This window comes from Homo sapiens, chromosome 7 (assembly GCF_000001405.40).
Source record: "Homo sapiens chromosome 7, GRCh38.p14 Primary Assembly".
Lineage (NCBI taxonomy): Eukaryota > Metazoa > Chordata > Mammalia > Primates > Hominidae > Homo > Homo sapiens.
In genome coordinates, this window is record NC_000007.14 from 112295146 (window position 1) to 112308047 (window position 12902).

Consider the following 12902-nt stretch of genomic DNA (forward strand, 5'->3'; position numbering starts at 1 on the left):
TGCAGTTGCCAATATAAATCTTGTTAGATAAATGGAAAGATAAACCACTTGTTAAATCCTGTCATCTTACTCCCTCTTTCATCACATATGTAGGTCTGGGTGTTAGGCTTTGGTTTTTAATTTAGCTGGTGTGTTGCTTCTAACTCTGCTCATTAGATACAAGAATTGTAAGTTAGGCTATTTTTCCAAAGTCTAAATTTGCCTCATTTCAGACTCAGTGTAGACATATGGAATTTTTCTGTCTTGTTATATTGATATTGAATTTAGACTGATTTCTCATTGCATTATTCTTCTGACCTCTGTTCTTTTGATACATAAGATAACCACTTAGTTTTCTCTTTACTGCAGAGTGTGTCATAGCCTATTTAATCGTTATTGTATTTTAAAGACACATAAACTTAGGTGTTATTTCAGAAAAATTCATTATCACATAAAAATAATTCATTTTAACTTTCCTATATGTCTGTTTATTGAATTTGGGGATAGTAGAGTTTAGTCATTTTCATGCCCTTACATGGTAATTCCTTTTTATTAAATCTTTATTTGATACTTCTATAATGCTCCACTGCCTTTGTATTCACAAAAAACTGCTAGAAAAGCAGTTTTAAGTTAACATTTGATTTGTTGCTTTGGGATGAGTGAATGTGCTTATAGATTCCTGTCATTCTAAAGCAAATAGTATATTGAATCTTCTCATCGTTCCTTATTTTATGTTGTTCTAAGGTACATTTTATATTGGAGGAAAAGGTTCACTGAACAGCCCATCACAGATTTTTGTAGTGTAATAAGAATTAATTCCACTGCTCCATTTGGTAAGTGTACATCTTGGCTACCATCTTTTCCCTACAGTATAAAAATTCAAAGGAATAATCTTACTGTCTTATATTAGAATTACTTTTACTTTCATGATAGATAAAATTAAATTGATGTGTTTATTTTGCCTAACTTGAATAAAGCTAAAACAGTTCTATGCCAAAGAGATCCTAATAGACACACACATCTGTATTTTTTAAGAAATAAGTCCTTCTGGGGAAAAAATGGTTAATATCTGTTTTCTTATTTGTTTTCCTAATCTCTCAACAGAAGAACAAGAGAATTATTTTTTGTTATGTGACGTTTTACCAGAAGATAGAATTCTTAGAGAAGAGCTTCAGAAACAGAGACTGGTAAGAATTGTTTTTAAAGGGTGAATAGTGTCTTGAAAATACATATAAATACATATAAAATCATATTGGTTTTTTTTTTTTTTACTTTTTGTTATGGAAACTTTCAAACATATGTAAAAGAGGAGACAATACAAAAAGGTCTTAAAACAAAAAAAAAGTATACACTTGACTGAAAATTAAAGCGTTTTATGTTAAAAATGCAGAGAGAATTTTTGGCTTTGTTTTGCTTCCTGGATTATCTCTAAAATAACAACAGAACTTACACATTTTAGTGTAATTTTAGCTGCCTGACACATGCTAGGGTTCAGTAGTCATGGAAAAATGCCCTCAGCTAAAATTGAGTTGAATTGATTAACCTTTTTTTCTCCCCTTTACTGGAATGTGCTATGCACTAGCATTTTTTTTATTTCCCTTTATGAATTAAGCATATGGTTTAATCTACATAGTAGCCTTTCTGGTTTTCAGGCTTAACCATAAGCAAGCTAATTTGAAAACCTCAGCATCTTTAGCCTTTAAAAAAGATAACAGCACATACAAGCATGAAAATTTTTATTTTATTTTATTTTCTTATTTTTATTTTATTTATTTATTTATTTATTTATTTTTTTTTTTTTTTTTTTTTTTTTTTTTTTTTGAGATGGAGTCTCGCTCTGTTGCCCAGGCTGGAGTGCAGTGGTGTGATCTCAGCTCACTGCAAGCTCCACCTCCTGGGCTCACACCATTCTCCTGCCTCAGCCTCCCGAGTAGCTGGGACTACAGGCACCTGCCACCACACCTGGCTAATTTTTTGTATTTTTAGTAGAGATGGGGTTTCACCGTATTAGCAAGGATGGTCTCGATCTCCTGACCTCATGATCTGCCCACCTCAGTCTCCCAAAGTGCTGAGATTACAGGCGGGAGCCACTGCACCCGGCTGAAAATTTTTATTTTCGTAAGTTAATCAGAAAGTAATTTTTTAAATTGTTACTTTTGTTTAAAAGTACATGGGTTCCCATTATTTGTGATTTAATCTCGACTATTACTTGAAGTTGACTTGCTGTTCCTTTAGTGATTTCTTGTAAGTCTTTCTTTTATCTTTGGACTTAGCTAAATATGTTATAAGAGAGAGAAATGATTTAAATATTTGTGCTATATCCTCAAGAGATCAAGGAGAAAAATAAATGCTATTTACCATAGTCATATAATTTAAGAAAGTCCCTGGAAGCATATTTTATTTTGTAGACATCCCAAATGATTATTTCTTCCAGTAGGGGAAGGTGATACCATTGGATGTTGATTTATATCTAAGAAAAGTTTTCCTGTACAACAACTGCAGTAAAGAAATAGGACTTCCTGAGTTTCTCTTCTCTCCTTATAGCAGTGTCTTATGAAATCTGCAAAACAAGGCTAAATTTACTATCATGTCTTATGGATGTTATTTGCGTGCACTTATTCATAATTTCCAATTTACATGAATTTTCTCACTGTTGCTAACAGTGGCCTTAAGAATGATCAAAAGATGTCATGATCCTAGTAGTCCTAAGGATTTATTTATAAGAACTCAAACCCTACTACTTCAGCCATTCTTGTTCTTTAGCATGCAGAATCTGTACGATGTGTCTGCAGATGGACTCAGGTCTCTAAAAATACCTACATATACTGCATTTAAGTTACCTTTTTTACTTTACAGTTTGATAGTGATACATTTAATGGAAGTGAGCATTATGCCAGCTTACAGAAACAAAAGAAGAATGAAAAGGCAATCAATCCATACATGCTCGTTGAATTTCTGCTTAAGTAGATGCCTATACAAAGAAGTACAAGAGTACAAGGCATAATCCATATCATACAAGAGTGTACGGTCTACTTAGAGAAGAAAGATAAATATGTATTCTTATCTTGGTAATAGAGATAATGATAAAATATCTTGCAGGGCTTATGAAGATTAAGTGACATGTAATATACTTAGAACACTACCTGGCACATAGAAGGCACTTAATAAATATTAGCCAATAAAAATAACAGTAATAATGCTGTGTCTTAACAATGAGAAGGATTTGGATAGTTAAGAGAGTTGTAGGGAAGGGAAGAAAGATACATATGCATCTAAATGTTCAAGGTGTATTCAGGAAAATCGAGTAAAAGTCTACTCCGGCTTAGATAGAAAAATTTTTATGGGGAGGAGTATGAGATAAATTTGAAGAGGTAAAATGGAGCTAAATTGTGGAAATCCTTCAGTGCCAGAAACTTGACTTTGTAGTAATAAAGACCCATTAATGTGCCCTCATTGTCCATCAGTGACATGAAGAAAAGAGTAAATGTAGCTGCGTATAAATCCATTTCAAGCTGTCAAAGCCTGAGAAAGACTAGACCAACTTGGGGATTGGAAGTAAGCTAACAATGACTGATGACCATCCATAAGCCATGCCTTGTATTTGGTTCTTGCTTCATAGCACCCTGTGAGGTGGCTATTAAATGCCGTTCTATTTATGAGTAAAATGTGGCCTAGGAAGCTTAATTTGCCCAGGAACACATAGTGAATGAGGTGCAGAGCTAGAGTTTCAAACCAAACATTCCAGGTACATGCCTTTTAAGCCATGCCATGCCAGCGTAGTCATTATTTGGCCTCTCATGTGTCTGGTACTACTATTCTAGGCTCTGGGAATCTCTCTGTCCTGGGTGCTCATGGTCTGACAAGTCTGTGTAGGGAGGGGATTCAGGCTTGGATTGAAGTTTAGGGAAAGCAGAGGCAGTTTACAATAGCCCGCCACTGGAATTCTGATTAGAGGATCAACAAAAAGTAAAAAAAGACTTGCCAAACAGCAGGAAGACAGGCTGAATTTGCCATCAGCCAGTTCATCACAATTTTATGCTACATAGTGTGGAAGCATGAGGTTAGTGTGGGTGATTCTTCTGTGGGCGTTAGCAATGATTATAGGATCTATCTCCTTTATAAAGAAAGAACTTTACAAATCAGTAAGAAGCATGTCCAGAAAGAAGTCTAAATCATTAAATGAAACAAAAGTAACAGTATACTTTTTCTTCTTCTATCAAGTTAACAGGACTTGAAAATAATAGTACTAAATGGTGGCAAGAATGTTAAGAGACAAGTACTTCTTCAGCTGCTTTTAAGAATGTAAACTGGTATACCATTTCTGAGAGGCACTTTCTCATCATGCATTGGAACTCGTGAAGATGTTTATGCCCTTGGCCCATAGTGTGCAAGAACTCATCCTAGGAAGACTTTACAGCCAGAGGGTTTTGAAGTCACTCACTCTACCACAGCTTGGTGGTTTTTTCCTTATGCTGCTACTAATTATACTTTATCAAACAATTTTTTATTAATCAGAATTTCATTCTAGTTTCTAAAACATGTAATTTAAACCAATCAAACTGCTTAATGATAATGGATGTATAATGTATTCAGTGTTTGAGTGACCCCAGCTCAATATTTCAACTCAAAGACTTTGAATTGAGGATCTTGAGGATCTCAACTTGAGGATCTCAACTCAAGTCCACGAGGAAGAACCCTCAAACTAGAGTATTAGTAGGGCATTTGCTGACTTGATTTGCATTAACGATGATTTGCATATGTATTATTCTTAAATATTTATTCTTTCATGTGGAACTCTAGGTAAAGCATATAGTTTAAGTACCTTTGTATGGTTTGCTCTTAGTTCAAAATGACTGTAACTTAAGGGCAGAAACTGTGTCTTATATTTAAACATCCTTCCTAGTCCTCCCTATACTCCTAAGTTCATATTGTTATTTTTCCCCAAACCTCATTTTAAACAAACAGACAAAACTCTGTTTTCTGTGTGAGTGGCTGGAGGTATATAGAGTTTAAATGATTCACTGAAAGTTACAGTAACAGATTTTATGCTAGAATCATATTTCTTTTTCCATTTCTTTGAGATTTCACTGGTTTCTTGACATTTGCAAGATTTGTATGTGTTCCCAGTTTTCTTTTTGAAGAGCTTGATTCCTACTTGACACTTCTTTGAATATTTTCATCCATATTCTGAAAGAAACTACAGAATTAGGAAGATTCTCGAGGATTTCAATAGCTTGAACACCTTCTTCCCTTTAGCTTCCTTTAAAAATTCTCCCGTGATCTTGGTGCATCATCCTCTTATTTCTCATCAGTCTAGCTTAGTCTTGTCCAGTGGTTCTTTTCCCTCTTTTCTCTTAAATGTGTATACATATGTTTCTCAAGATCTTATCACCTGTTCAGGGCATGCACATCTGTATAACTACCACTATTAGGCCTATGGCTTAAATGTTAGTGCTGGTGCAGAGTAGGCAGTCAGAGTAAATATTCATGAATTGAGTTCATCCATAGCTTTCATCCTGGTTCACTTCTGAGCCCCAAATCTATATTTCCTTATGTGAAACTTTTCCATTTGGATTTCCAGTCCACACTTTAATATGCCTAAAAACAGAACTTATTTTTTTCCTCCCCCAAAACTTGCTATTTGCCTGTTCTCCTTTTATTACATAATGACACCACCATTCTCCTGGTCACTCAGTTTGGAAATCTCTAGAAGCATATTTAATTGATTCTTTTTTTCTCACCCCTATATCTAAGTCATTTGTCAAATCCTACCAGGTCCAGCTGAGTCCCAAGTCCCACATCCATACTCATACTTACCTTGTCTATAGACTCACCTCTTCAGGCAATTGACACTGCCTCCAGAATTTTAATATTAATAAATACTTATTAAAATTAATGTTACTATTAATTGATTAATAGTAACTGATTATCTGTTAATATTAATAAATAACATAAATCACTTTATTCTTTTTTTTTCTGACAAGATCTCCCTCTGTCGCCCAGGCTGGAGTACAGTGGCTCACTGCAACCTCTGCTTCCCGGGGTCAAGTGATCCTTTCGTAGCGATGGGGTCTCACTATATTGCCCAGGCTGGTCTCGAACTCCTGGGCTCAAGAGATCCTCCTACCTCAGCCTCCTAAGGTGCTGGAATTACAAGAGCAAGCCATTGCGCCTGGCCCTATTCTCTTCTTCAAAAACCTGCCCTATTCTTTATTGTCTTCATGTTCTTAAGGTTTTCTAGTCTCAAACTGCATTTCCAGTGTCTTTTCCCTAAATTGCCCAGCATCCAATTAATTTGTTTATTCAACAAATATTTATCTTGTACCAGATATTTTCTAAATACTACTGATATAGCAGTGGATAAAACAGGCAATGGTCCCTGCCCTTGTGAAGTTTACACTGTAGTATAAACATTACTTTTCTCACATTTATCAAGTATGTTAGGTACTTTCAGGATTCTGCTTCATGAACTAGGAATGGCAATCCCCACCTGTATAGATACATATCCCTCAAGGCATTGCTCAACTGCCACATTTTCCAAAAGTTTCCCATATGCCACCTGTCAAAATTAATGACCTCTTCTAAGTTCTATTAACACACTATTTTATTTGGCTTTTCAATTATAGTTAGTTATTTTAAAATCTGTCTTCCTTACTAAGATGTCTCTTAGCAGTTTAGACTGTTGTATTAACATTTCTATCTTCTCTGAGGCTTGCTCTTACGTATGAACTGAAATTTCATCCTGAAGTATTGGCTTGTAATTTCTATAAAGCCATATAGTCAAATATCCCTGATTAACAAGGATACAATATAGCTGAGGCAGACATCTATAATCACTGCATTACACTTTGCACTTCAACATAAAAAAATCCTCAGTTTTTCCTTTGTCTACAGGAGAAAATGTGTGGTATTCGTTAAGTTCTCAGTAGCAAGACGTAACTTAACTAAATTGGGAAAGAAGGAAAGGCCTAACTGTATGAAGGTATTTTTTTTAATCACTATTTCAAATGTCAGCTTGAGATATCATTCATGACAACTACAAATATTTTATGAAAGTTTTAACGTATATAACAAATTTATCTTCAGGAGAGAAACAGTTTTTTCTGTTTTTAATTCTACTTCATGTGTCTCACCTCTCCCCACAATAAAGCCACAACAAAATGAAATTGCGTATCTCCCACTGAGAAGATTGTTCTTCCTCATGCCACTTTTTAAAATATAGTTCTAGAGACTTTCAGTAAAGGATCAAATTACTGTATGCCAACAAACTGAAAGTAAAAAAATCAATTTATATTTATACTTTTCTTGCATAATTCCTATCTTTCAGGCACAATACATACAAGTTCTAATACTGCATCTAGAATAAAATTTTCTTAAATATAAGATGATATTTCCCATTGAATGTAACATTGTTATTAACAGTGCAACAGAGATCAATTTAGCTGCAGTGACCATTGAGTAAGTTTAACCTTCAGATTGATGACTGCTTTCTTTGGGAAACAAATGGTAATCACAATCTAAAACGATATTATTCTGAGTCCTAAGGTTCACCACTTTGAGCATCTTCAACAAGGACTTAAAATTTACAGGACAATTTGTATATATACTGGTTGAGTGAGATCAGGCAGGAAATATTACCCCTGTTTAACAGGAAATGCAAGGTCAAGGACAGTAAGAAACATGCACACAACCGTGGTTATATACAGTGTTAAATAGAAAGGGAAGCAATTCAAACTCCTAAATTTCCAACCCCAATCACCATTCTCTTTCTAATTGCACCAGGATACTTTATCACATTTGATCTTTCTTTCTGAGCAAATAGGCCTTTTTTTTTTTTTTTTTGAGACAGAGTGTCAGTCTGTCACCCAGGCTGGAGTGCTGTGGCACAATCTTGGCTCACTGCAACCCCACCTCCCAGATTCAAGCAATTCTCATGCCTCAGCCTCCCGAGGAGTAGCTGGGATCACAGGTGTATGCCACCACACCCAGCTAATTTTTATATTTTTAGTAGAGACAGGGTTTAACCATGTTGGCCAGGCTGATCTCAAACTCCTGACCTCAAGTGATCCACCTGCCTTGGCCTCCCAAAGTGCTGGGATTACAGGTGTGAGCCACTGTGTCCAGCCAAATGTGACATTTTCTAAATTGACATTTGTTAGAATTAATGAAAATGGCTGAACAGGACATAAATATGTATGTAAATAAATAATAATATTCTGTTTTCATTGTAAATAATTTTTTAAAGAAAATCTGATTTCCTATTATCTTAGTTCAGTAGTAGATAGGAATTTCTTATTCCTTTGGGCCTAAGCTTCTTGTATTTTCTTTTAAAACTGTACCTGACCTTGAGTTTATACAGGAAAATACTTCTTCAGGCTGGTAATCCTATACCGAGTCATGCCATGCTGATAGCTTTCTTTTTCCTTTTTCTTCTAAAAGATGGGTATTTTGCAATCTCCCATGCCCACCTATTGAATTTTTTAAAGTCCTTCTCTTCCTACCTAAGCTAAATTCTCTTGTACCTTTAATATAAATAGGAATTTAGCTTTTCTAGTTTCTTGTGTGTTTAACTCCTGCATTTACATTTTATTTTGTACGTCTACCTTTTTTCATTGTGCTGATATTTTCCATGTGAATGTTTAAATTCGTCTCATTTTTTTATCTCCTAGTTTATTTTTTTTGGATATTCTGTCCTGTTTTGAAGACACTCTTAAAAAGCTATCTCAGTGAGACTCAAAAGTAGAAGAAAAATACTATATTTCTATCCTGTATAGCAAGCAGATGGCTGTTGCCTTTATCATTGCAGTTTCAGAAACGGTGGGAGGTACTGATATCTTTCAAGAAGGTGAAATACTAGTCAGATCAACTCTCATGGATTTGGGGGTGTATATCATCATCCAGTTAAGAAATGTATCTCTGTTTTTTATGTTTCACTATCTTATTTTAGTCATTGATATGGATGGCTTTTCCTTGTTTATTTAAGATTCTAATGTCACAAGGTTAACTTTCTATCATCTCTCATAAAATGCTGAGAAAGGTGGATTTTATTGATTGTTTTTAAAGAAACTGTATTTTGCCATTAATAGTTTTTGTTTTAGTACAGTTATCCCTGCCTTATACATGCAGAGCTGTGTGTTTAAGTATATTAAGTATTATTTAGTATATTATTTGAGTATATTGCTAACATAAATTCAAATGCTCTAGTGATCAGACTCTGGCAAACAGATCAGTCATTCCCAATGCTGTTCAGTGACCCTTTTGACACTTAAAAGAGAATTTTGGGGGTGGGGAAAAGTAGCTTTTTATTTGACCCCTGGTGTGAGGGCTTCCAAAATATTTAACTCAGTTATAGGCAGATTCCATTCTGAAAGTTGTTGAAGCTATACATCATTATCTGTACAAATAATTTATTCATGTTTCCATTTTACTTTATTAACCAAACTTTTAATCCTTAAGTTAGTGGAAATTTACTGAACTTTTTATACTTTTAATTTCCTCATATTGAAAGTTACATCAGATAGAATAAAGGATGTGATAGAAAAAAATAATTTCACCATAATACTGAATGGGATTAAAATGAAAATACCGTCTTACTGTCAGAAAAGATAAGAAATGGCAGACAGAACAAGAGGAGTTGGTGTTATGTCTTTAGCCAGCCTCACTTTGAAACAATTTGAAAACTCTTTCAGTAACTTAGACATTGTTCACTTATTCACATCATGTAACTAGTAATTAAAATTATCCAATACTTTCAAATTTATTTAGAATAAAAATTCAGACTTTTTACCAAGATCTCAAAGGATCTGGCACATGCCTCTCTGAGCCACTCTCCCACGTCTCTCTCACCCACTTTCTCCTGTGCTTACTGTACTCCAGCTACACTGGCTATGTCTGTGTTCCTCAAACACACCAAGCTGTTTCCAGCTTTAAGGACTTCGCACTTGCTGTTTGCTGTGCTTGGAATGCTCTTCTCTAGAATCTCATGAGCTGGGCCCAGTGGCTCATGCCTGTAATCCCAGCACTTTGGGAGGCTGAGGCGAGAGAATCGCTTGAACTCAGGAGACCAGGCTCGGTAACAAAGCAAGACTCCATTCCTTAAAAATAATAATAATAATAATAAGCTCATGGCTTTTTTTGAAGGGGAAGGGAAGAGTTTTTGGGGAAGATGAGCCTCTGGAATGGTACTACAGGCAAATGAATGCTTTGGAAGTGCTTTGGGAAGCTAAAGACATGTAGAGTAATTCATATAGCTGAAATGATTTAGGAAAAATTGCCTTCTGTGGAGGATTAACTTTAGCTATCAGCTACAGTGTTTTGGAAAGTAGATACTCAAAAGTTATACTGATTGTTTAATTTGTTGGAAATTCCTTTCTCGGGGGTAGGAAAGATTTAAACCTATTCTGCATTTGAGGTTATGACCAAATAGAAGTCATAGACTACAGTGCCCAATGTAATACTAAACTTTTAATGAGCCTTTAGGAAGTTTTTACTGAATAAATTTGTTTTAACTGATTGAAGTATCCAAGTCAACTGTTTTCACCAAAAAACAAACCAAAAGACCTTCTTTCCTTTATATTTTAAATGTATTTACTCTGATGGAATATAGGGACTAGATAGCAAAGAAGCATCTCTGGTCCCTCTTTTTAATTACCGATGACTGATATACCACTCTCCATGCCTTGATGTCAGTTCCTCAAAGGAATGCTGGTCCAGTGTCTCCAGTGCTTATACTAACAGACTCTGAGTGCTCACACTGTTCAAGAGAAGAGGCTCATCAGCATTCCGTATGTATTAGGGAGCTCTGCCATTTAACCTGCAGTCTGGGTTCTGGTATTATAAATAAGTCACTTCAAAAGAAAGCTAGTACTTTGTGATACCTTTGTATCAACAGGACAGACCTTTTTCTGCATCTGATTAATGAGAATTTTAATTTTTGTTACTTTCAAGTTTCCATTTTCTTGACCACGTACTATTTATTTTCTATCCTGAACTTTAATTAATGGCTGAAAACTTTAATCCTAAATTCTAAACTGTTTTAGAACTGCTTGCTCTTTAAGGTTTTCTCTCCTCTGAGATTTCTGAATGTTCTTTTTTTTTTTTTTTTTTTTGAGATGGAGTCTCGCTCTGTCACCTAGGCTGGAATGCAATGGCGCAATTTCAGCTCCCTGCAGCCTCCGCCTTCCGAATTCAAGTGATTCTCCTGCCTCAGCCTCCTGAGTAGCTGGGGTTACAGGCATGTACCACCATGCCCAGCTGCTTTTTATATTTTTAGTATAGATGGGGTTTCACCATGTTGGCCAGGCTGGTCTTGAACTCCTGACCTCAGGTGATTGGCCCGCCTCGGCCTCCCAAAGTGTTGGGATTATAGGCGTGAGCCACCGCCCCCAGCTGATGTTCATGTTTTTATCCCTTTTCTAGAGAGGCTCTTTTATAATCCCAGCATGTCAGCAAAAAGGGAATGCATTTTAGATCTTTACTGGTCCCTAAACATATTTGGGGAGCACAGTGACCAAGGGGTGGTACTGTAGGTCTCCTCATCTACCTTCTTTTCCAGCCACCTTTCTATCAGGTTGTTTCCAGACCTGACCTATCCTGTCTTTTAAAAGAAAAGGCCTCCATTTTCATAAATTTTAAGTATTTTAAATATTTAATTTTTTAATATTTAAATCTTTTAACACCAAATACATGCCTATAACTTTATTTTGAATGTTCTAAGGCAAGTGCATTGCAGAACTTGCTTGGCAAACTGCAGGTTAGGTTCTCTCAGGCCTGTCCTTACATCCAGCTCTTACACCCCAGAACACTAATACACACTCAGATACCGTTGAGAAGAAAAACTCAGGAATAATTATATTATTTCTCAACATTTTTTACTCCATCCCCAGCAGTAGCCAACATCTACTTTGCAGTGCAGGATTTGGGTCCTTCTCCCAGCAGCTTATGGCCTTTGCTTTGTGTGCTAAAGAATGGTCCCCAGAAGCAAGCTGGGGTTCGTGCCTGTTCACCATCAAAGGGCTTTTGTTCATGTCTCTTTGCCCTATTCCTAGTCTTTCTCCTGAGAACTTGGAGGAAGCCCATGGGGGGAGTTGGACCCCTTGTGTCTAGGACTCTCAGGGATTTTGCCTTTAAGAATTATTTAAAATACAAACTTTTGTCTTCCTGCTTGCCTTTTCCTCCCATGCTCTGTGTTCGTGTCTCTCTTCAGAGAGGCTAACCACCTTTTAGAATTCAGTTTGTCTAGTTGCCTTGTGACTTCAGCTCTTTGGACTCAAAATAAGTTATGAATTTATTTCTTTTTTTTGTTTGTTTTTGAGACAGTCTCACTCTGTCGCCAGGCTGGAGTGCAGTGGTGTGATCTCGGCTCACTGCAGCCTCCGCCTCCTGGTTTCAAGGGATTCTCCCTCCTTAGCCTACTGACTGCCTGGGATTATAGGCGTGCACCAGCATGCCTGGCTAATTTTTTTGTATTTTAAATAGACGGGGTTTCACCATGTTGGCCAGGCTGGTCTCCAACTCCTGACCTCAAGTGATCCACCCGCCTCAACCTCCCAGTTGAATTTTTTTGATTATTCAGCTTTTTCTCATTGATAGGATGTTCTCTTGTATCTATCTCCTAAGCAGAAATTGAACTCCTCCTCCCCCTGCTTGATTTTAATTAGTATCTTAGTGGTTAAGTGCTACTTTTGGCTAAGGTAGATGCTTTTTTTTCCATTTTATAGAGTTCTAAAAGATAAATACATACATACATATGTATTTAGTATGTATACATATGTCCAAATACATATATATGTATTTGTCTACTAAATGAGGTCTAGCTTCAAGAGACTATTGACCCTGTCAACTAGTTGTCATAAATTCTAAAACCTGTTACTATGGCTTGGTGTTTGATCTTGGTGTTGACTTACCTATCAATTATTGTATCA

General features: G+C 36.0%; 1 protein-coding gene across 3 annotated transcripts in view; it reads left to right on the forward strand.

Moving 5' to 3' along the window:
- Positions 1–12902, forward strand: part of ZNF277 (zinc finger protein 277) — a 137240-nt gene that overhangs the window by 88451 nt on the left and 35887 nt on the right. For 2 of the 3 annotated variants that reach the window (NM_021994.3, XM_011515768.4), the window contains exons 3-4: positions 724–812; positions 1084–1166. In NM_021994.3, coding sequence (NP_068834.2) covers positions 724–812; positions 1084–1166 — 172 coding nt within the window. The remainder of the gene's footprint in view (positions 1–723; positions 813–1083; positions 1167–12902) is intronic. The other variant, XM_017011720.3, reaches the window with a different exon arrangement.